Source organism: Homo sapiens, chromosome 12 (assembly GCF_000001405.40).
Source record: "Homo sapiens chromosome 12, GRCh38.p14 Primary Assembly".
Classification (NCBI taxonomy): domain Eukaryota; kingdom Metazoa; phylum Chordata; class Mammalia; order Primates; family Hominidae; genus Homo; species Homo sapiens.
In genome coordinates, this window is record NC_000012.12 from 62,341,909 (window position 1) to 62,367,971 (window position 26,063).

The 26,063-nt window shown below is 35.4% G+C and overlaps 1 protein-coding gene across 13 annotated transcripts in view, besides 1 other annotated feature; it reads left to right on the plus strand.

Annotated features, from left to right (window-relative positions):
* USP15 (ubiquitin specific peptidase 15) overlaps window positions 1-26,063 on the plus strand; it is a 155,986-nt gene that overhangs the window by 81,505 nt on the left and 48,418 nt on the right. For 7 of the 13 annotated variants that reach the window (NR_147082.2, NR_147081.2, NR_147080.2 and 4 more), the window contains one exon: window positions 13,423-13,567. Coding sequence is in view for 4 of the 13 variants with exons in the window: in NM_006313.3 (NP_006304.1) it covers window positions 13,423-13,567 (145 nt within the window). In the remaining 9 variants the exon portion in view is untranslated. Of the gene's footprint in view, window positions 1-7,312; window positions 7,400-13,422; window positions 13,568-26,063 lie in introns of all 13 variants that reach the window. The other 6 variants (NR_147078.2, NR_147079.2, NM_001351165.2 and 3 more) reach the window with 1 other exon arrangement.
* Window positions 3,286-3,486: a silencer, noted in NCBI's record as "peak1750 fragment used in MPRA reporter construct". NCBI's record gives its function as "represses an SCP1 promoter by STARR-seq MPRAs in K562 erythroleukemia cells {active_cell/tissue: K562}" and the evidence as "EXISTENCE:reporter gene assay evidence [ECO:0000049][PMID:32103011]".

The window sequence follows — 26,063 nt, forward strand, 5'->3', positions numbered from 1 at the left end:
AATGGGAATGTTGGCCTGTCTTACAAGGTTGGGGAGGTTCTCCTGAACTAGGTTGAGGAAGTTCTCCTGAGAGTTCACGTCTCTCTGAAGTGTGTTTTCCAACTTGGTTCCATTCTCCCCGTCACTTTCAGTTACACTAATCAATTGTAGGTTTGGTCTTTTCACATAGTCCCATATTTCTTGGAGGCTTTGTTCATTCCTTTTCATTCTTTTTTCTCTAATCTTGTCTTCACACCTTATTTCAGCAAGGTGATCTTCAATCTGTGGTATCCTTTCTTCCGCTTGATCGATTGAGCTATTGATACTTCTGTATGCTTCTCTGATTTCTCGTGCTATGTTTTTCAGTTCCATCAGGCCATTTATGTTCCTCGCTAAACTGGTTATTGTAGTTAGCAGTTCCTGTAACCTTTTATCAAGGTTCTTAGCTTCCTTGCATTGGGTTAGAACATGCTGCTTTAGCTCAGAGGAGTTTGTTATTACCCACCTTCTGAAATCTTTTGTTAATTCATCAGTCTCAGTCTCCATCCAGTTTTGTGCCCTTGCTGGAGAGGAGTTGTGATCATTTGGAGAAGAAGCATTCTGGCTTTTGGAATTTTCAGCGTTTTTGTGCTGGTTTATCCTCATCTTCATGATTTGTCTACCTTTGGTCTTTGAGGCTGATGACCTTTGGATGGGGTTTTTATTGGGGGGTCTTTTTGTTGATGTTGTTGCTTTCTGCTTGTTTGTTTTTCTTCTAACAGTCGGGCCCCTCTTCTGCAGGTCTGCTGCAGTTTGCTGGAGGTCTACTCCAGACCCTGTTCGCCTGGTTATCACCAGTGGAGGCTGCAGAACAGCAAAGATTGCTGCCTACTCCTTCCTCTGGAAGCTTCGTCCCAGAGGGGCACTGGCCTGATGCCAGCCGGAGCTCTCCCGTATGAGGTGTCTGTCAACCCCTGTTGGGAGGTCTCTCCCAGGCAGGAGACACGGGATCAGGGACCCACTTGAGGAGGCAGCCTGTCCCTTAGCAGAGCTGGTACGCTGTGCTGGGAGAATCCCCCTTGTCAGGATCAGCTGCTCTCTTCAGAGCCAGCAGCCAGGAAAGATTAAGTCCACTGAAGCTACACCCACAGCCGTCCCTCCCCCCAGTGTCTCTGTCCCAGGGAGATGAGAGTTTCATCTGTAAGCCCCTGGCTGGGGCTGCTGCATTTTCTTCAGAGATGCCCTGCCCAGTGAGGAGGAATGTAGAGAAGCAGTCTGGCCACAGCCACTTTGCCACACTGTGGTGAATCCTGCCCAGTCAAAACCTCCCAGTCTCCATAGCACTGTCAGGGGAAACCACCTACTAAAGCCTCAGTAATGGCAGATGCCCCTCCCCTAAACAAGCTCGATCGTCCCAGGTCAACTCCAGACCTGTGCTGGCAGTGAGAATTTCCAGCCAGTGGTTCCTAGCTTTCTGGGATCCATGGGAGTGGGACCCGCTGAGCGAGACCACTTGGCTCCCTGGCTTCAGCCCCCTTTCCAGGGGAGCGAATGGTTCTGTCTCGCTGGCATTCCAGGCACCACTGTAGTTACGAGAAAAACTCCTACAGCTAGCTCAGTGCCTGCCCAAACAGCCACCCAGTTTTGTGCTTGAAACCCAGGGCCCTGGTGGTGTAGGCACAGGAGGGAATCTCCTAATCTGCAGATTGCAAAAACCATGGGAAAAGCGTAGTACCCGGGCCAGGTAGCACAGTCCCTCATGGCTTCCCTTGGCTGGAGGAGGGAGGTCCCCCAACTCCTTGCACTTCCCTGGTGAAGCAGTGCCCCACCCTGCTTCTGCTCACTCTCTGTGGGTTGTACCCACTACCTAACCAGTCCCAATGAGATGGATACCTCAGTTGGAAATGCAGAAATCACCTACCTTCTCCATTGATCTCCCTGGGAACCTCAGACCAGAGCTGTTTCTATTTGGCCATCTTGGCCCCTCCCCGAAACTGCCATTTTTAAAACCATCAGATCTCATGAGACCCATTCACTATCACAGAACAGCATGGAAAAGACTCGCCTCCATGATTCAGTCATCTCCCACAAGGCCCATCCCACAACACATGGGAATTACAGGAGCTACAAGATGAGATTTGGGTGGGGACACAGAGCCAAACCATATCATTCTGCCCCTGGCCCCTCCCAAATCTCATCTCTTCACATTTCAAAACCAGTCATGCCCTCCCAACAGTCCCCTAAAGTCTCAACTCATTTCAGCATTAACTCAGAAGTACACAGTCCAGTGTCTCATTCAAGACAAGGCAAGTCCCTTCCACCTATGAGCCTGTAAAATCAAAAACAAGTTAGTTACTTCCTAGATACAAGGAAGATACAGGCATTGGGTCAACACAGCCATTCCAAATGGGAGAAATTGGCCAAAACAAAGGGTCTATAGGCCCAGTGCAAGTCCGAAATCCAGCAGGGCAGTCAAATCTTAAAGCTCCAAAATGATCTCCTTTGACTCCATGTCTTGCATCTGGGTCACGCTGGCACAAGAGGTGGGCTCCCACAGCCTTGAGCAGCTCTTTCCCTGTGGCTTTGCAGGGTGTAGCCCCACTCCTGGCTGTTTTCATGGGCCAGCATTGTCTGCAGCTTTTCCAGGTGCACAGTGCAAGCTGTCAGTAGATCTACCATTCTGGGGTCTGGAGGACAGCGGCCCTCTTCTCACAGCTCCAGTAGGTGGTGCCCCAGTAGGGACTCTCTATGGGGGCTCCAAACCCATATTTCCCTTCCTGGCTGCCCTAGCAGAGGTTCTCCATGAGGACCCCGCCCCTACAGCAACTTCTGCCTGGTTATCCAGGCGTTTCCATACATCCTCTGAAATCAAGGTGGAGGTTCCCAAACCTCAATTCTTGACTTCTGTACACACACAGGCCCAACACCACATGGAAGCTGCCAAGATTTGGGGCTTCCACACTCTGAAGCAACAGCCTGAGCTGTACCTTGGCCCCTTTTAGCCATGGCCAGAGCAGCTGAAACACAGGGTACCAAGTCCCTAGGCTGCACAGAGCAGGGTGGTCCTGGGCCCAGCCCATAAAACCATCTTTCCTTTTAGGCCTCCAGGCCTGTGATGGGAGGGGCTGCTGTGAAGACCTCTGACATGCCCTGGAGACATTTTCCCCATTGTCTTGGGGATTAACATTTGGCTGCTCGGTACTTTTGCCGGCTTGAATTTCTCCTCAGAAAATGGGATTTTCATTTCTATTGCATTGTCAGGCTGCAAATTCTCCAACCTTTTATGCTCTGTTCCCATTATAAAACTGAATGCCTTTAGCAGCACCCAAGTCACATCCTGAATGGTTTGCTGCTTAGATTTCTTCTGCCAAATTCCCTAAATCATCTCTCCCAAGTTCAAAGTTCCACAAATCTCTAGGGTCGGGGCAAAATGCCACCAGTCTCTTTGCTAAAACATAACAAGAGTCACCCTTGCTCCAGTTCACAAGTTCCTCATTTCCATCTGAGACTACCTCAGCCTGGACTTTATTGTCTATAACAGTGTCAGCATTTTGGTCAAAGCCATTCAGCAAGTCTCTAGGAAGTTTTAAACTTTCCCACATCGTCCTGTCTCCTGAGTCCTCCAAGTCTCCAGGAAGTTCCAAACTTTCCCACATTTTCCTGTCTTCTGAGTCCTCCAAACTGTTCCAACCTCTCTGCCTATTACCCAGTTCCAAAGTTGCTTACACATTTTCGGGTATCTTTTCAACAACACCCCATTCTACTGGTACCAATTTACTCTTTTAGTCAGTTTTCATACTGCTGATAAAGACATACTTGAGACTGGGCAATTTACAGAAGAAAGAGGTTCATTGGACTTAACAGTTCCACGTTTCTGGGGTGGGGGGGCCTCACAATCATGGCAGAAGGCAAGGAGGAGCAAGTCATGTCTTACATGGATGGTGGCAGGCAAAGAAAGAGAGCTTGTGCAGAAAAACTCCCATTTTTAAGACCATCAGATCTTGTGAGATTCATTCACTATCACAAGAACTGCATGGGAAAGACCCGCCCCCGTGATTCAATCATTTCCCACCAGGACCCTCCCACAACACCAGAGGATTATGAAAGCTACAAGATGAGATTTGGGTGGGGACACAGAATCAAACCATATCAATAGTCAAGTTCACATAACCACACGTAGTCGTTTCCTAACGTAAAAGAGAAAAAAGAGTGGTGTCATGAAAACAATGACTGGTTCCACTTGTAGTTCATGCAGTTCAAATAACTACACAAGCTTTTCCTCATGACAGCCATGATACTTCAGTTTGTAGCAGATATGCTTTATGCAAACTTCCCAGTTTGTCAGATAATATTAAAAAGAAATATAAGAGTTAAGATTTAATAAAATCAATAATTTTTTATTTTTTTCAATGTGGATATTCTCAAGTGAAACTTTTTTACTGTGATGTGAAGTATAGGTTAGTGCTACTCCTTTGATTCATGCTAAGGTTTCAGCAGTTTTATCCACCATTGCTTTTGCACTATCAGTGCCAATATCCACTCAGTGAAAGAGGTCAAATAACATTTAAATAACACTTTGATATTATTATGAAAATAGTTTTGACCTCACCAATGGACACCTTAAAAAGGGTCTTGATGACCCCCAGGATCCATGGACTATACTTTGAGAACTGCTTCCTAAACATCCAAGATATGTTGCCCTTGCCCACTCTACTTTCTTAACTCCACCCCTTATTAATTCTTACCTTTGTTGTTTTTATAGTTCCCTAACTGGTCTCCCAATCTTCAGTCTTTTTCTCTTCCTTAAAAGTTCCTAGAATAGAAATCTGATTTTGTTGATACACTATTAAAATCTTTCCACATGCTCCAGCACAATTGGATAAAATCCAGATTTCTTCATAGAATATAAAAGACCCTTTATTATCATACCTACCTTAGTAACCTCTGTTCCTGTCAGTACTTCCTAGTCTTTCAGCCAAGCTGAATTTACTGGTAATTCCCTGAACACATCATGGTTTCTACATGATTTCTACATGCTATTCTTCCTAACTGTAATACTCTTTTACTTCCCACCTATCCCTCTAATTGTACGTCATTTTTAAATCACCTTATGTCACCACCTACAAAATTTTATATTAGAATTTGTTATCATACTTGTATTGTATTATAGTCATTTTGCTTATATGTCATTTTTTCCTATTGTGAGCTGTTTGAGGTCAGGAACTGTGTCTTTCTTTGTATTCCCAGTACTTATCAAGGGTGAGGCATACAGTAGTCATTTAATAAATGTTTGAGTGTTTAAATGAACTCCATAAAAACTGAAAATACAAATTAATTCCATGGTATTTCATTTTCTTTTCCAATATAGTTCTCAGAGTTGCTAATTAATAATAAAAAAGGCCACAGATGAGAAGAAAAAGAAAAAAGTGTGTGTGTGTACATATATATATGTACACAGACATACACAGTGTGTGTGTATATACACAAAGTGTATACACTGTGCATATATATTATATATAATATATATGTCTCAGTCACTTTATTGGATGAAGCAATGGATCTTTATTTCCATAATTTTTACTATAAGATTCAGGGGAACATTCGATTTATATATGTTTTTGAAAAGTTGTAATGAATTACATTTTAAAAAATTAACCTCCTTAATTTATTATAACTCAGTCTCTAATCAATTTAGACGTTTTTTCCTAATTTAGAATTCTTAATGTGGAGGCAAAAATGCCAGGATATTTCCATTTTTATTAATATTTTAAAACTACTATCTGGGAATATTAGGATTATTAAAATTACTTTTTAAGTGTGTTCTATACATTGTTTTATGAGAAAACTTGGTTGATTCTATTTTGTTTTTGAGTTTAGTACAGTAAAATAAAATCTTGTTAAAGGGACTTCTATCAGAAGGGTACGTAACTAGAAATCCCACTTAACAGAATCCAGTAATATATATCATTTATCAGCTAAAACAACCTCGTTGAAAAGAAAACATTTTTTTCTAAGATTTTATAATGTATAAAACTTTAAAAGTTAAATTAGGCCTGGTGCAGCCTGTAATCACACCTGTAGTCCCAGTGCTTTGGGAGGCTGAGGCAAGAGGATCACTTGAGGCCAGGAGTTTGAGACTAGGCTGGGCAATATGGTGAGATCTCTGTCTCTGCAAAAAAAATTTGTTTTTAAATTAGCTGGGCACGGTGGCACACGCCTATAGTTTCAGTTTCTCAGTAGGCTGAGATGGAGGAGCTCTTGAGCCTGGGAGGTCAAGGCTGCAGTGAGCTGTGATTGTGTCACTGCCCCCCAGCCTGGGCAACAGAACGAAACCCTGTCTCTAAAAAAGTAAATAAAAATGAAATTTAAAATGTACATTTTTTTATATTTAAAAAATTTTATTGCCCACCATTTGTTCTGCATAATGCATTGTAGATATATATATTTAGATAAATCCAAATCACCTAAAAGCAAATTTTGTAGATTATGCTTTTCTGCCTGTTGACCATTTCATTGTTCGTTAGCATAATATTTAAAAGTGAATCATTCGGGGCCTCACTGATTTAAAATTTACAATGACTGAGTCACTGGACTGAAGCCTAGCTTTTTACAGCCCCTTGCCTAGATGTTGCCTAGTAAATTAAAATAACATGTTTACAAAATTACAAGGGGAAATAAAACTTTTAGTGACCTTTATGTACTTAAATTATTGCTGTATTATAGATTTGTTGATTATAAGTCATGCCTTTAATACATACTTGTTGATTAAAAACCAATAGTAATTGCAGTTTCTTCAAAAAGATTCTGAATTAATAAGGTATGTATACTATAGTCAGATTTATGACTTTTCCCTTTGGCCAAATATAGCATATTGGGATTATGCTTGGAATTATTTTATCTATTTTGTCCCCATTGCCTTAAATTTTTAAAAATTGGAATGTTCTCTGATCTCTGTGTCAGTGTTGTACATAATTAGAATGCCATGGTGTACCAGTGAGAAACAAAGTAGAATAGTTTAATTCCATTGACTGATGGAAATTGATCGTAAAATGTTAAAAATGGTTACCTAAACTCGGAAATGGGTATATGTAGTTAGTAGATTTATAGGAATAATAGCAAGTCGCATATTTAATTTGATAAATTTTATTTGAAAATAGTTCCCTTTTGTACTTTTATGTTTTTATAAGGAATAATACATTCAAAATTGAAAACCAAAGGATAATAGTGATTTTGCTCATAAATCTATTTTTCAGCATTCATTTACTACAAACATTGTCATCTGTTCTTTTATTTCATAATTAATTTAAAAATTCTTCATTTTTTTATCTAATTTAACATTTTCATATTTTTAAAGGTCCCCAGGTGCATCCAATTTTTCAACTTTACCAAAGATCTCTCCTTCATCTCTATCAAATAATTATAACAACATGAACAACAGAAAGTAAGCACTGAATCTTAAAAACTCTTTGTTTAATTGATCACCCTATTATGGTTGCAAAAAATCTCTTGTATCTAAAATTTAGGATAAAAGTCTTAATGCATTAAAATTGGTTTTCTTTTAAATTACCGGTCAGTTCTTCCATGAGTAACAACAAAAAAGAAAGCAATTAAATTGCTTCTTGATTTAATACATATACTGAAAGAAATAAAACACTTAAATTTTATATACTAAACACTAATCATTAAAATATATTTAGAAGTTTGTTAGAACACAACTTTTTAGGAAGAATTTAAATTCAGATGTCATTTTAGAACTAGATGTGTAATCACATATAATAAAGTATTTTTAAAAAGTGTGTATCAGTGATTCTCAAGTGGAAAGCACACAATAAATTTTTGTTTATGAAAAAGGCAATCACTTTTTCTTGAGAAGTTCAGAAAAACAATTTCCTTACCTCTTGCCAAATAAAATTTAGAATCATGGAATTTATAAAAATTTTATTGAAGTGTGTGTTATATTGCTATAAGAAAAACAGTTGAAAGTCAAGGTTACACAGCTTCACTCTGAGTGTATTATCTTGTATTGACTCTTAGTGTATTACCTTGAACATTGACATGTTTTTTTAATTCAAAAAGGAAAAAAGAAAACCTTTATTATTTGTAATTAGCCCAAATTGTGGGAAGAACATTGATCTAGAGATGATTATCCTTTTATTTTTTTTTGACATGTATAGTGCCTTTTATGGATTAGATTGAAAGTATTTAGATATTTGCACTAACATATTAGTATTAGATATTTATCTAATACTTATACTAATTATGTATTACTATTATACTAATCAAAAATTTTAGTATTTAGATTTTTTTCAGTTTCTAAATGGCATCTGATTATCTCAGTGAGTAAATTCTAAAAGACTAAAGCTATTTGTGAAATAATCTTTAAAATTAAAACACCAATAATTAAATTAAAACACCAATAATTAAAACACCAATAGTTAAATTTATTTTCTAACAGCTCAGAAACAGATCTTTGTATAAAAAGAATTTAATATGATCAGGAGGCATTGTAGACTAATACGAATGGGCAGATTATCCAGGAAATATGGTTGAGAAAATTGGCTCATATCTGAGAATTCTTCTCTGGAATTTTAAATCCAAGATAATTGTTAAGCATATTTAAAAAGGAAAAATAAATGGAAAAAAGAACTTGTTACAAATGATAAAGGATTTATATTCTAAATATATCAAGCTCATAAAAATCAGAAATTTTCTAAGACAGTCTTAGAAACACTGGGCAATACAAGTAAAGGAATTAAATAAGGGACAAACTTTTTTTGAGGTAGGATCTCACCCTGTCACCCAGGTTGAAGTACAGTGTCACAATCACAGCTCCCTGCACCCATGACCTCCCAGGCTCAAGTGATCCTCCCACCTTAGCCTCTTGAGTACTTGGATTACAGCACACGCCACTACACCCTGCTAATTTTCTTTTTATTATTTTCATAGAGACAGTCCCACTATGTTGCCCATGCTGGTTTCGAACTCCTGGGCTCAAGCAATCCTCCTGCCTCAGCCTCCCAAGTGCTGAGATTGCAGGCATGAGCCACCTTGCCCAGCTGGGATAAATATTTTACATTTTCACATTCACTACTGATTAGAGATATGTAAATTAAAACCATGAAAAACCCCATTTGCTTTCCCTTACCTCAGTCACATTGGGAAAAATTAAACAATGACATGTATTTTTATAATGATTCTGAGTGTTTGGAGTACTAGAATAATTTTTTCTAGCAAAATTGTTTACCAATATGAATCAAGAACATTTAAAACATTTACATTCTTATTTCAGTAATTCATAAAAAGATATGTGCACTATGTGTAATAATATTACAACATAGTGTAATACTAAAATACTGAAGACACTGAATATTCAGAATTACACTGCAGTATCTTCTCTTCTATTTAAAAATGTATGTGCACAGGCCAAAAAAAAAGAGTGAAAATAACCCCTCGTAATTTGGTTTGTATTACATGAGAGCTTTAAGTAAACTTACCAAAAGTCATTTTTTCATACTAGATAAAATATTACTTATGATTTACTCATTGCAGATGGCTCTCATACTTACTGTAAGAGAATTCATTTACAGGTATTTACAGTCATTCTTTGGAGAGATTTTTAACATTGTATATAGACTATGTTGAATGTAGACTATATTTTGACCAGAATTACCATATTGGTATGAGTGGTCTGGTGTGTTTCTGGTTTTGTTCTGTTTGCATTCTTAGTAAATACGTGACAGTATAATCTAATCTCAAAACCTCTGACTGCAGAAACTATTGAGAGAAATTAGAGTCTTAAGTTTGAATGATTCTATCATATGACTACATTATATTTTTAGCTATTTATATTTTTTTAATTCAAACACTAAAATAGCCCTGTCATATTATGGAATTTTAATAGCGAATAGTCACTGAGGTACCATGAAGCTGTGAACCATTTTGAGCTTAAAAATACATTTTTATGTAAGGATTATCTTTCTTAGTAAGGAACAGAACTTAAGCATTCGTAAAATGGAAAGTTTTTTTTTTTTAACTTTAAAAAACTTGAATTCTATCGTATTTAAACAACTGTTTTACATACAATTTATTTCTTGAATTTCCATTCAGCTTGTGGGAAGACTTCAGATAGAAATAGCATAGTTTCTTTAAAAATATGTAAAATAGGTAATGACCTTTTTGGATTAAGTATGTTTTTGAAACCTTATGTATGTGGAAATAGTCTACAAGTATAAGTAATATATTAAAATCAATAGTTTATGAAATTTATTTATAAATTCAAGATTTAACCCTACACTGATACATTTCTAAGATATAAAATTTTTATTTCCAGAAATAAGAATATTGTTATAAAATAATTCCAAGTAATAAAGTATACTTGGAATTATTTCATTTAAGTTTAATAAGTTTTTATTAAAAACCAGTATTATGAAAAATCCATTACTGTAATATAGTTTGTTTACCTTGTGTCATAATTTTACCTATTAGTCCCTTGTGTATTTGGTTTTGCCTCAGTTATAATTTAAGTACATTTTTAAATATCTGTCAGATTGTCTTTCTGGTAATAGTTCTATAACCTGTATTTTTCTGCCCTGCTATATTTGCTTTGGTATATTACTAATACTGCCTTTTAAAAATATTTTTAACGTGTTTATTGTCTCAATTTGACATTCCAAATGCAGAACACTTTTTTATTTTTCTGTTAATTCATTTATATCTTTTTCTTTGAAATGAAAATGACTCCCTGTATGAGATTGAGCCTCAACAGGAACTGTGAATTTTGGAAACTACCAGAGCTAGCCATCTGGCTCTTGATAAATTTGTTAGCTAAAAGCATCATTTCATTAACTGAAAAATGGGCATAATTATAGTTTTGAGGATTAAATTATATATTTATAAAGTCAGGTGTCAGTGCTAGTTTAAAAGTCAATCTGACATCTTTTATGGAAAGGTAAGGTTCAATTTCACAAAAAAAAAGTGTATTTTTAGTGTATTTTTATTAAAGAAGGATATAATACAGAATTAATCTAATATAATATTACAATTCCCATTACTATTACTGTAAATTTATTTTTGCAAAGTAGCATAGCCTTAAAAGATGATGACTAGCTTAAGATCTTTAGGAAATAATTAGTAGACATAGTCATGAAAGGTACTAGAGGCTATCTTTAGGGCCCAGATTTTCATATATTTTTTGAATTATATAAACTGCTAGTTTTGATATTTTCCATGACAAGCCTTAATATTTCATTTAGAGCACACATAATATGTGGATTATAAGTGACCGATCAAGATATTAAAGTATCTTAAATTGATTGATTTTCATTATCATTTTGAGCATCTAGACTATCTCAATCTTTGAGCAAAGTTGTAGATATTATTTAGGGATTTAGATTTTTTTAAAAACAAAACCAAAAAACTGCTTTGCAAGTAAGTTTTTTGTTCAGTTCTCAGTAAATAGCAATTTCTATCCCATCAAATTCCATCATGTTGCTGCAAAGAAGAGTAGAGCTTCCAGCATCCCTTTGTGTTACACGTGGGGAGAGACAGGATATCTGAATATATACTTATGGAATGAGCATGTAAATGTGCTTTTAGTCTTTTCACGTGTGTGTGTGTGTATAGGCATGACCATGCATTTGGGCATACTTTCCTGTGTGCTCTGGCTGCTTAAATTTTACTATGATTTTACAGCCAGAAGTTTTTTCTTCTCTGTAATGTGTAGAATGTGTAGAAAATGAAAGCCTTGCTTTTTTTAAAATAATATACAGCAGATCTTCATTTTTAGCACTACTTAAACTTATAAAAGAAAAACAGGATTTTTTTTGTACTTCAGCTTTTTGTTGTGTGTACCCAAAGTTAGATTCAATAATCCAATTATGAGCGAAAATACTTAAAATTGCTAATAGGCGCTTTGTACTTTATTAGTTACTAGGAATATGAAATAAAATGTGAATCATGGGCTAATGATTTGCCAAAGAAAGATGCATGAATTATATTTTTTGTGTTTTGTTTTAGTTTAAGTCAAGTAAATAGCTATAAGTCTAGCAATTCCGAATTTGAATTGATTAATGTTACATTTCTTTGGCGCCTGCTGTTTTTATCTCAGGGTGGATTATTTTTTCAGAGTTGAGGAGTTGACCTCTTTTGTTTGTAGAAGAAAGGAGTGTTTTTTAAAAAATGCAAAAACATTAGTAGGCCAACATTGTATGTGTAATTTTAGGTTGGTTTGGTTTTGTGTGTTTTCTCTGGGGGTGGTGTGTGTGTGTGTGCGTGTGTGTGTGTGTATGTGTGTTTACTAAAGACTTTCTTAGAACAGGTAGTATAGTTCACATAAACTTTTATAATAATAAAGTGAGAGCGTCCTATATGGAATAATAAAGTGAAGTATTTAAAATTATAAGAAAAAACTACTTTAAAAAAGTAATACCAGGAATAAATTATAGCCAGTTGTGAATTGCTAGAGATACTGATTTATCATGCTCATTTATAAAGCTGTTCTATTTATAGCATCATTTGCTTTTAGGAAAGATCTCATTCAGGTTTTTTCTAATTAATAAAAACAGATTGAAAGCATGCTTTTGAATTATATCCAAAATATTCATCATACATATTTTATAAGATAACCTATTAAAAAATAAGAAAGAATCCATTCTTTTTCACAAAATTATTTTTTATTATATGCCAAAGGAAGAGGGATCGTTTAACTTATTTTCTTCTTTCTAAAAATTATACTGATTTTGTAACTTTTAGAATATTACAGTTTTTTAATATTAACATTTAAAATATCTTGAGGTTATATTTATCTGATTAAATAAACTACATTGTTCTGAGAAACCAAAAGAAAGAAAAGGCAAATAACACTGGGATATACTTGCGTGGAATCATTTTTGCATTCCTGTTCACCCAGGCTTTTTTCTGCATTTGAATACTAGTTTTTGCTGGTCTCGCATAGAAACTATAAATGGAATCTTCAGTGCATCATAACAGTGAGGTCACAGTGGCCTTGGAAATCTCTGCTCTTACCTGTAACTTTTTAAAGCATAACTCTTACTGTTTCTACCATTTTTACTCTATTACAATAACAGAATGCAAAGGGTCATAAAGGAGATGATTTGTTGCTGCGGGTGGTATTTAAAATCTGAATGTTTTAAATTTGATGGAGCAATGGGGAATGGAGCAAACTGTAAAGCTGCTCTAGTTAATCAAAGGTAGGAAGATATAATAGTGCTTTGTATTGGTTGGTGTGGTATATGAGAGTTATTTTGTTGATTGGATAAGGAGTATCTTAATTCAGGGTGAGTTATTTTTTTGAGGTTCAAGTCTTTAAAAAAGTATCTGAGTTGAGTACTTTATAAAAGAAATGTAATGATCAACCACATATCTCATAAATAGGCCTAAAGTACTCTTTATTATAAATATGTTGTAATATAATTGGCTGCATTATGAAAATTTTTTTTCTTCCAGTGTGAAAAACTCAAATTACTGTCTTCCATCATATACCGCTTATAAGAACTATGATTATTCGGAACCTGGAAGAAACAATGAACAGCCAGGCCTCTGTGGCCTAAGTAACTTGGGAAATACGTGTTTCATGAACTCAGCTATTCAGGTAGGTCTTTGTAAACAAAATGAAACTCATGTTTCATGGAAATCTGTAATACAAGAAGATAAAGTTGGGTTTTTCATGCCAGAACATGAGTATATGTTTTGAAAGTTCATTTTTCATGGAAGATTTAAGCATACATATTTGACTTATTCATTCTACTACTGGTAGTGGAATATATGTTTCTCAATTAGGTGACCTGTGATTGATTAACATAATGTACAAGATTATATATCACTTTGCAAAAATATAATATCAGACAGAAAACTTAAGCTGTCTAAAAAGGGAGGGAAAAAAAAGCAAAACTAATGAGTTCCCTCCATTATTCAGTAGAAGTCTGTTGCACTTTTTTTTTCTTTTTTTTTTTTTTTTGTCTTAATGGGAAATTAAAATTTTAAAAAGGAAAATCTTGGGAACTTCTTTTTGTATACATACTTTAACAAATCACTTTCCCTTAAAGGTCTTTTAATTTGGGGATATAAGAGATAACTACTTTTCCCCTGCCCCCACCCCCTTTTTCTTTTCTTTCTGCTCTAGTCTATATCCTCAACTTGTTAAATATTTATGTCTTTGATTGATTCTGAAGTAATGAGAGAGATATATTTTTTAATATCACTGTTACTGTGTATAAACTTAGGGCTGGTTATTTTATTCCCCTTTTACAGATAAAATTTCTGTGTTTATAAAAGCTCAGAATAATGGCAAACCATTTTTGATATTTGAATTTTAACCTTTTTTTCGTCAGTCTCTTGTGAATTCTGGATTTTTAGTTTTAAATCTAAACTTTTCTGTTCTCTATTCTTATTTTTTTGTTGAATCTCCTATGCCCAGGAGGCAGCCTCAAAAGATATAGATTAAATGCAGGGTATAGATTGATAAGGACATTATTAGACATCTTTCTCACTATCTGAGAAAAGGATGACTCTTCACCATTCAGTATTCTAAGTGAATCTTTTTGTACATCATCATTCATACAGCTGTTTCCTAAATTAACCATTGCCTTTATAGCATTCTTGGAAATTAGAATCTGTCATACACTATAGGCCAGGAGTTAGCATCCTTTTAGAAATTGAATAGGGAAGGCATAATCGATTTCTGGTATTTTGCTTTAGAGTTGAACCACTTGGGAAGTGGCCTATCTGCCTAAGCAGATAGGTTAATATATAGGTTAATAAACTCTTCCTTTAAATCTTCAAATGAGTAATCCTGCTCATAGTATAGTGTGAATTACTTTATTCAAAATAGTTTTTCAAGAATTCTAGCACTAGTTAGACATAGAGACAATTTAAATTTTTATCTTTATTTTTCTAGATGAGGAAGAAAGCCAAAATGTATTATTATCCTAATAGTTAAATAACAAAGTAAAGTACATGGGTGCTTAGCTTTCAGAGATAGGAATGGGACAGACAAATTATAATATCTGTTGGACCATCTCTGGAACATGTTTTATGTAAATTGTGTTTATACCAGTACTAGAAAACCCTGTTCTCAGATCACCAAGTTATATTAATTTTTATGTACCTCTTTATCCTTGAACTGCCAAAATTACTTTGGTTCCAGATGCTTGATATCAGCTAGAGTTTTTTTTCCTAGTTTAGAAAACCAATCTTGGTGCTTTTTCATAAATATTAATAAAATATTTCAACAACATAGGGATTCAAAATTTGAATCTGTCAGGAGAGCACAAGAGTTTGTGTTGATGCTAATCATTCATGGGAGGCTTGGGCCAGCATTCAGACTAAATTCCTTCTAAAGCAATACTGCATCCTAGTTTTCTGTGCCTTTGATACATCTGTTTAGTATTGTCTGCATATGGTTAACTGCAATTTCTCAGAAATAGGTATTCAAATTGAATCTTTTAACCAGCTAGGTTAAGCTAGATTTGGCATCGTTTAGCTTTCTTGCATGTTATGTTTAAGGTGTGAGGATCTTCAGTTTATTCATTTTTGCTTCTATTCAAAACTATTTTATTAGAATAAATTGATAGCTCTATTGCAGACACTCCTAATATATTTTACCATCACGTATTCCATTTCATCTGAGACACAGCCGTGAGCGTGATGGTTTATAATTTTATGGTAATAGCCATAAAATTTTTTGACAAAAATTTTAGCAGTGAGTATTTTAAGCAGTGGATATTATTTCATCATTATAGCTTTATTTAGTTGGAAACTATATTGTCTCTAAAATAAAATTCTTCAAACAATTTGGAGAAGAGAAAAATGAGTTTTTACTTGTGCGGCTTTAGCTTTTAGTTCACATCTGGAATTAGAAAAGCTAGGCCTTTAGTTTTATTTTCTTAAAACTTCCATGATTTTTAATTGATTAAGATGTCAGCTCTCGAGCTGAAAATTGACTGTAAGAGGGAGTACAAAATGGTGGCAGTAGCCTTTACTCCTCTATTTCACAAAAATTCATGTAGTTCATAGATCCAAAAATAAAAAGGGTAATAGATAACTAATAGAATAGATTCTTTAGGTTTTGTCAGATACTATTTCTTCAGTATGCTTTTTTCAAGTTTCCTTGTAACTTCTTTGAAATTGAAGACGTTCATGAATTTTAGAAAATATTATCAAATATTATCTCTACTGACAATTTGAATTTTAATGTAACCTCTTAAATTAATTCAGTGTCCTCCAAATTTAAGTGATCATTTCAGCACATCAGGTGGTATAGTATTAACATATGTTAAAAAAAAAAGAGTGTAAAAAGTATACTTTTTTAATGTAAGCGTGGGTTATACTTAGCCCATCAGTAGCCTTGAGATAGTGAAATCTTTTGACCACACATGATTAAAAACTAAGCAGCACCAATCTGAGTGTGATTTAACATTATTACTGTTATTATTTAATTTAATGATATTGGTACTTAAGATTTTCTGATGTAATGGTATGAGTATTAACCTTGTTTGGTGAATATGGTACTGCCATATAGCACAGTAAAAAATAACAATACAACAGTTTGTCCAGGCATGGTGACTCATGCCTGTAATCCCAGCACTTTGGGAGGCCAAGGCGAGTGGATCACCTGAAGTCAGGAGTTTGAGACCAGCCTGGCCAACATGATGAAAGCTCATCTCTACTAAAAAATACAAAAATTAGCCGGGCATGATGGTGGACACCTGTAATCCAAGCTACTCGGGAGGCTAAGGCAGGAGAATCGCTTGAACCCGGGAGGCAGAGGTTGCAGTGAGCCAAGATTACACCATTACACTCCAGCCTGGGTGACAAGAGCAAAACTCCATCTCAAAAATAAATAAATAAATGACAATTTAAAATAATGTGAATTTTAAAACAATGCAGTATAACAATTAACATAGCATTTACATTTTATTAAGTATTATAACAAATCTAGAGATGATTTAAAGTATATGTGAAGATATATGTAGGTTATATACAAATAACAACACCATTTTATATCAAGAACTTGAGCATCTGTGGATTTTGGTATCCCCAAGGTGGAGAGGGGGCTCCTGTGACCAATCCCCTGTGGATACCAAGAACAACTGTATATCCTGACCTTATGAAGATTATAGCCTAGATATTGTGATTTTCAAACTCTTTGTATTTTAGCATCAAAACTTTTTTTTAAGTTACCGTGGAAAGTTTAATTGTATCCCCAATATTTAAGTAGATATGGTAAAATTGCTTTGGTTGGGTGAAGTTCCCAGAACCCCATCTGCTTTCCTTTACTTTCCACAATGGCCCCAGAAGCTTTCTCATGGATCCCAGGACTCTGAGGAACAGTTTGAAAGCCAAAGTCTGGCTTGAAAAAAAAAAAAAAAAAGAAACACATAAAAAACTAATAATACAGATTAAGATCACAGTTTATGGAGTTACACTACTTGGATTAAAAACATGGCCTTCCTGCTTATTATAATAACTGTATTTCCCTAGACAAGTTAATTCCACAATTCATTTTTCTCATCGTCTGACAAGAAAATAATAGTACCCTATCTTAGGAGTTTTGTAAGGGTTACGTGAGTTGATGGTTTTAACTCGTAGGATGCTGACTGGCACATTATAAATACTGAATACATATTATGTAGAAATTATCTCATCTTTTTTTAAAATTCAACAAGTTAAGCAGAATGACTCTGGAAAGATTCTGTTCTCCATAACCGTTCTATCTGTCCTCTTTTCTTGAGTCTTTTTCCACGTGGACCTTAGTGGACTAAGAAGAAATAATTGAGTGTACTTTTATTTTTCATATAGTGTTATTGTAGGAATGGTATTTATCAACCCTTTAATTTCTGAACTATGCTAATTTAACTCTTCCTAGGCAAGCTGATAAGGAAGGGATATAATAGCATAGAATTGTTTATGAATATTCTATCTGTAGGGCACTAGGAAATTCAAAATTGTTGAGTTTGGTTACCCCTAGCCCCTGCCTCCTGAGTAGTTATGATTATAGGCATATACCACCATGTCCCATTGGTTCAAATAATATAATAAGATAGTTTTCTAGTTCCCTAAATCTGTTACTCCATCTAGAGAATGCCCAGTTTTTAAATTTTGCATTATTGGTGATAATTTTAATTAGCATTAGTTCAGTAGATTCAAGAGCACTTCAACCCTTGTCTTTTTCATTGTCAAGGCCTACCTAGGAGGCTCATGGTTAGTTTCCTGGATGAAGCATCTCCTCAGATGGATTTGAAGCAGGGGAGTAATGTGGTCTTTTCCATTGGAAAGCAGCATGGCATAAGATGGTTATTTTCAAAATATTTACTTGGACATAATAGAGCTCCTTAGATAGATTCTAGGAAGTCATTGAAAAAAATGATACTAATCAAAGACTTATTCATTATTCCTGTCATAATATATAAAATAAATTGGGATTTCAAGCATTTTTAAGGTCAGCTTTTTTTTCTATGATCTGTTTATTAGGAAAAAACTTAATTTCAAAAATTTAGAAGAATGTTAAATAGAAAGTTTAAACTTTTTTAAAGATTTAATTTAAGAGAATAAGTAATACTACACAGAAATAACATTTTTAAGAAACTAGATAGATCTTCATTACATTGTAAAACAGAGAAAAAGTTATTTCTGAAGCTGTTATTTCTATGTTACATTACTTCAACTAGCCTACTCTTACCTTGAGACTTTCTTTTTGCATTTATTGGAACTCAGTTTCTTAGAAGTCCAGTTTAACACTAAACCTTCTAGTTTTATTTAAATTACCAACCTTATATTTAAATGAATATACTTTTCATCGTAAAAGGAAAAACCTCACTTCTGAGACACAAAACACTTTTTAAAAAATAGTTTAGGATCTTATATTTGTTCTGATAAACTGAGAACGTGGCTAATGAAAAATTTAAAACTACTACTTTCTAGGTCAGGTTTTCATCCTAATCCAGGATGTTAAACTCAATTATGTGAGTTCCTTTCATGTTATGTGCCAGAAATTACATAGCAAATTGTCATCAAAAATATATTCAATCCTCTGTCAAATGACAACTCAGTCAGGTCATCTATCCATTTTGATAAAAGCAAAAAAAAAAAATGTAAACAACCTTACTTGCATTAGAACCATTCATTTTTCTCAACATGAATACCAATGTTTTTACTTTTCCCTTTGGACTAGAATAGCCCTTCCTTTTTGAAAGAGAACAGAGGTGGGAAAGAAGAACCTACGTTCTCAGACAGATTATTTTAAGAAAGAGTATATATGGGATAGTTCTGTAAAAATTTAGTGTTCACAACTAGGGGAAAAATGGTATCTCTAAAAGAATGCCTTGCACTTGTGTAACTTGGCTAATAATGATTTGTTATGAAAACATGCCTTTCTTAATCTCAGATGGAGACATGAGATTTGATTTGTCGCTGTTCACATTCTTCTCAGTGAATAAGCAAAATTCCCTAAGATTAGTGCCTCTTTCTGAATTAAGTTTTTATGTGTTTATCTGTCCCTAATTCTGTAGTAGGAAAATGACATAATAGAGATCTTAGAGAAATAGAGAGGTTCTTTTAAAGAGTTGTAAATTATTACATCTAATTCTAAAATACAAAGTGGTTTTACTATCCTGGCTAGGAAAGGCCAACACCAATTTAATAATATACTTATTAGATAGTATTGTAGTGACTACATCTTATAACAGAAGTTATTAATGTAATTAGGCTGAAGTATCTTGTATCAATTATTATAATTATTTCAAGGATTTTTTTTGTAATTAAAAGCAAAACAAAAGAAATGTCAATCTGTAGTCTGTAATGGGAACTACAGATTTGCTCCCTCCCTCCAAGAAAATAAAAGGAAAGAAAAACCTATTTCAGATTTACTTCTCTTACTTAAAATCAAGCAGCTCATTTTTTTGATGTCAAAATGTTTTCTAAAAGTTTACCATTTACTTCTTTACAATGATTTATAAACTATTCTGGGCAGGGGAGAGGGTCAGTGAGTTGGTTACTTAAACCATTGTTCGATTAATAGTAATATCTAAATCAATTACTAGTTCTCATATAAACCCATATTAAAACATTAACAGCCCTGTATTGAACCTGCAGCCTCTGTTAAGAGTGGTACCCTTCTTTGCATAATGCAGGTTATTTTTTTATATTGTTTTTCACTTAATTTTCTCTTCACAGAGGTCTGTGAGTTAGGGCATAAGAATCTCTATTCCACTAATGAGGAAATTGAAGCAAGGAAAGTTTGATTTCCAGTCACTAAGACAAGTTATTATGAGTTGTTATTCAGTACATTTTGAGATAATGTATTTTTTTGAAATTATGCCAATCAACCTATAAGAAATGCTTATGTTTTGTTTTTTGTGGTAAAATATAACAATTTGCCAGTTTAACCATTTTAAGTGTATAGTAACATTAAGTATATTCACATGTTGTACAATTATTAAAAATGTTTTTATGTTTAGTTCAAATGATTGGCCCCCATAATACAAGATGCTCTCATTAAGTAGCATTAATGTTGTGCCATTTAAAACAGTTTCCCTAGGAGGTGATATACACACTTACTCATTCAATGTTCAGAATGTTAAAAACTATTCAAGTACTCCTTTTGGAATTGCTTTTATTCTTCTGAGTATCACTGGTGGATATTTTTCATCCTTCAATGACAAAGTTGATTTTTGAAAGCCAGAAGTTATTCAGAGCACTATTTTCAGAATATTGTAGATTATCAAGCTGGGTAATTTTTTTCAAGTAATTCATAAGTAATGAATGACTGATGAAGTCATTTACTCAGCAAATATTTATTGAAGGTCTATTAGGTGACTCTCACTCTCATAATCACTAATTATGCCATGATGAACAAAACAGTTTTTTCCCATGGAGTTTACAGTCTAATGAGGGAGACAAATATTAAATCAATCATGAATTATGATAAGTATCATGAAAGAGAAAGTAGAGTGCTAACAGGAACTTGGAGAGCACCTGTTTTAAGCTGGGTGTCATATTTACGAAAAGTAACATGAGCTTTGACCAAAGAATATGTATGAGTTTGGCAGGTGAAGTTAGAAGGACCAAAAACATGTGCAAAGCCACTAAGAAGGGCAAGTTTGAGGAATCAGAAGTGTAGTTTGTGGAATAATGTATGAAGGGGAGTGAGACAAAATGAGTTTGAAGGAGTAGGCAAAAGCCAGATCATATAGGGAGAATTTAGATTTTAATGTTACAAAGGCACTAAAGGTTTCAGGCTACTATCTTCTTAACTGGTTCATTCCATTTGTCTGCTAGCTGGTTTCTTTGCTTCTATCCTTACCCTCCACAATCTGTTCTTAAAAGAACAGCCAGCAATTCGTTTCAAACCTAAGGCATTTTCTATTACTTAGGCAATAACACAAAATGCCTTCTCATTTCACTCAACGATCAATGAAAGCCAGAGTCCTTAAAAAAAAGTACAAAGCCCTGTAGGATCTGGCCCCATGCTAGCTTATTTCCTATCACTTACCTCCATGCTTACCTTGTTCCATCCTCACCCTCACATGTGCCAAGAGCGTGCCTGCCTTAGGGTCTGTGAACTTGCAGTTTCCTATACCTGTAATGTTCTTCCTCTAAATATATATATTCTTGCACTCTCACTTCCATTAGGTCGCTATTATCTATCAGTGAGGTGCTTCTTCAGTCACCCTGTAAAAAATAATGACTGCCCCACATTCCACACAGTACTCATAACCATCTGGCATGTTTTATTTCTATTAGGGTTTTTTGCTTGTCTGTGTATCTTCCCCTACTCCCAACACAGACACCCTCTCCCCGCGTCCCCACCCCGTGCTCTCTCTCTCCCTCTCTCCCTCTCTCCCATGACTGCTGGAATTTTGTTTTAGTCACTGTTGTAGCCCCATTGCCTGGAATAGTGTCTGGCATGTAGAAGGCACTCAAATTAATGAAAGGTGAAGGGAATCACAAGTGTCTCTCTAGTTTTTGGCTTATATATCATAATGATAGATGTAACCATTTAATGAAATTCCAGAGTAGTAGGAAGAAGAACATAGTAGGAGAAGTAAATTTGGGGTGGGGAGGAGATTATGAGTTAATTTTAGGCATGTTCAGTTTGTGATGTCTGTGAAACATCCAAGCAGATAGATCATAGACAGTTGGATATTCTAGTATGGAATGTAGATCAGAGGCCTAAGCTGGAAATAAAAATCTGCGTGTCGTAGGTGGTGGTTAAAATCATGGAAATGGTTGTTTCTAAATGAGGGTATCTATGAAAAAGACGTCCGAGAACTAAGCCCTGCAATACATTTGAATGGAGGAATGAGACTTCGTTTGCAATAGGAGGAAAGAAAGGGATTACGGATGCAAGCAATGTCTAGATTCTCTGACGGCTTCCATTATCCCCAAAATACAAGACTAGATCATTAGCTAAGAATGAAAGGGTAAGAAGATTGCTCAGCAGTATTGAGGTCTCATTTGATATTGGAGATCATCAATTCAGAATAGTATAAATGTATTCACTTGAAATTTTTTTCCAACAATGTTCAGTTGCATGGTGCATAAAACAGATGCCTAGATTCATCTAGAGTTGGAAAGAGAAAGGGGCAAAGGAGTTATTAATAAAAAGCAACCAAACTTGTTTTCTTGTTTGTATTTATTTATTTATTTAGTGAATGGAATTATTTTTTTAATTTTTCTTTTTTATCATATTATTATACTTTAAGTTCTGGGGTACATGTGCGCAAAATGCAGTTTTGTTACAAAGGTATACACGTGCCAAGGTGGTTTGCTGTACTCATCAACCTGTCACCTTCATTAGGTATTTATCCTAATGCTATCCCTTCTCTAGCCCCCCAACCCCCAACAAGCCCTGGTGTGTGATGTCCCCCTCCCTGTGTCCATGTGTTCTCATTTTTCAACTCCCACTTATGAGTGAGAACATGCAGTGTTTGATTTTCTGTTGTGATAGTTTGCTGAGAATGATGGTTTCCAGCTTCATCCATGTCCCTGCAAAGGACATGAACTCATCCTTTTTTATGGCTGCATAATATACCATGGTGTATATGTGCCACTTTTTTTTATGCAGTCTGTCATTGATGGACATTTGGGTTGGTTCCAAGACTTTGCTATTGTGAAAAGTGCCGCAGTAAGTGTATGTGTGCATGTGTCTTTTTAATCAAATAATTTATAATCCTTTGGGTATATACCCAGTAATGGGATTGCTGGGTCAAATGGTATTTCTAGTTCTAGATCCTTGAGGAATTGCCACACTGTCTTCCACAGTGGTTGAACTAATTTACACTCCCACCAACAGTGTAAAAGCATTCCTATTTCTCCACATCCTTTCCAGCATCTGTTGTTTCCTGACTAATGATCGCCATTCTAACTGGTATATGAGATGGTATCTCATTGTGATTTTGATTTGCATTTCTCTAATGACCAGTGATGAAGAGCTTTTTTTCATATGTTTGTTGGCTGCATAAGTGTCTTCGAGTAGTGTCTGTTCATATCCTTTGCCCACTTTTTGATGGGGTTGTTTGTTTTTTTCTTGTAAATTTGTTTAAGTTCTTTGTAGATTCTGGATATTAGCCCTTTGTCAGATGGATAGATTGCAAAAATTTTCTCCCATTCTGTAGGTTGCCTGTTCACGCTCATGGTAGTTTCTTTTCCTGTGCAGAAGCTTTTTAGTTTAATTAGATCCCATTTGTCAATTTTGACTTTTGTTGCCATTGCTTTTGGTGTTTTAGACATGAAGTCTTTGCTCATGCCTGTGTCCTGAATGGTATTGCCTAGGTTTTCTTCTAGGATTTTTGTGGTTTTAGGTCTTACATTTAAGTCTTTAATCCATCTTGAATTGATTTTTGTATAAGTTGTAAGGAAGGGGTCCAGTTTCTGTTTTCTGCATGTGGCTAGCCAGTTTTCCCAACAACATTTATTAAATAGAGAATCCTTTCCCCGTTGCTTGTTTGTGTCAGGTTTGTCAAAGATCAGATTGATGTAAATGTGTGGTGTTATTTCTGATGCCTCTGTTCTGTTGCATTGGTCTATATATCTGTTTTGGTACCAGTACCATGCTGTTTTGGCTACTGTAGCCTTGTAGTATAGTTTCAAGTCAGGTAACATGATGCCTTCAGCTTTGTTCTCTTTGCTTAGGATTGTCTTGGCTATGCCGGCTCTTTTCTGGTTCCATATGAAGTTTAAAGTAGTTTTTTCCAATTCTGTGAAGAAAGTCAGTGTAGCTTGATGGGGATAGCATTGAAAGTAAATCACTTTGGGAAGCATGGCCATTTTCACAGTATTGATTCTTCCTATCCATGAGCATGGAATGTTTTTCCATTTGTTTGTGTCCTCTCTTATTTCCTTGAGCAGTGGTTTGTAGTTCTCCTTGAAGAGGTCCTTCACATCCCTTGTAAGTGGTATTCGTAGGTATTTTATTCCCTTAGTAGCAATTGTGAATGGAAGTGCACTCATGATTTGGCTCTCTGTTTATCTGTTATTGGTATATAGGAATGCTTGTGATTTTTGCACATTGATTTTGTATCCTGAGACTTTGCTGAAGTTGCTTATCAGGTTAAGGAGATTTAGGGCTGAGACGATGGGGTTTTCTAAATATACAATCATGCCATCTGCCAACAGAGACAATTTGACTTCCTCTTTTCCTGTTTGAATACCCTTTATTTCTTTCTCTTGCCTAGTTGCCCTGGCCAGAACTTCCAATAATATGTTGAATAGGAGTGGTGAGAGAGGGCATCCCTGTCTTGTGCCAGTTTTCAAAGGAATGCTTCCAGTTTTTGCCCATTCAGTATGATATTGGCTGTGGGTTTGTCATAAATAGCTCTTATTATTTTGAGATGCATTCCATCAATACCTAGTTTATTGAGAGTTTTTAGCATGAAAGGGTGTTGAATTTTGTCGAAGGCCTTTTCTGCATCTATTGAGATATTCATGTGGTTTTTGTCATTGGTTCTGTTTACGTGATGGATTACTTTTATTGATTTGCATATGTTGAACCAGCCTTGCATCCCAGGGATGAAGCCGACTTAATCATGGTGGATAAGCTTTTTGATGTGGTGCTGGATTCGGTTTGCCAGTATTTTCTTGAGGATTTTCACGTCGATGTTCATCAGGGATATTGGCCTGAAATTTTCTTTTTTTGTTGTGTCTCTGCCAGGTTTTGGTATCAGGATGATGCCAGCCTCATAAAATGAGTTAGGGTGGAGTCCCTCTTTTGTATTGTTTGGAATAGTTTCAGCTGCTCTTTGTACCTCTGGTAGAATTCGGCTATGAATACATGTGGTCCTGGAATGTTTTTGGTAGGTAGACTATTAATTACTGCCTTGATTTCGGAGTTGTTTTTTTGTTTGTTTGTTTGTTTTTTGTTTTTTTGAGATGGAGTCTCACTCTGTCGCCCAGGCTGGAGTGCAGTGGCGTGATCTCAGCTCACTGCAAGCTCTGCCTCCCAGGTTCATGCCATTCTCCTGCCTCAGCCTCCCGAGTAGCTGGGACTCCAGGCGCCCGCCACCACACCTGGATAATTGTATTTTTTAGTAGAGATGGGGTTTCACCAGTTAGCCAGGATGGTCTCGATCTCCTGACCTCGTGATCCGCCTGCCTTGGCCTCCCAAAGAAATTTCAGACTTTTTTATGGGCCTATTCAGGGATTTGACTTCTTCCTGGTTTAGTCTTGGGAGAGTGTATGTGTCCAGGAATTTATCCATTTCTTCCAGATTTTCTAGGTGTTTATAGTATTCTCTGATGGTAGTTTTTATTTCTGTGGGGTCAGTGGTGATAACCCCTTTATCATTTTTTATTGCGTCTTTTTGATTCTTCTCTCTTTTCTTCTTTATTAGTCTGGCTAGCAGTCTGTCTATTTTGTTTATCTTTTCTAAAAACTAGCTCCTAGATTTCATTGATTTTTTTGAAAGGTTTTTCGTGTCTCTGTCTCCTTCAGTTCTGCTCTGATCTTAGTTATCTCTTGTCTTCTGCTATCTTTTGAATTTGTTTGCTCTTGCTTCTCTAGTTCTTTTAATTGTGATGTTAGGGTGTCAATTTTAGATCTTTCCTGCTTTCTCTTGTGGGCATTTAGTGCTATAAATTTCCCTCTACAC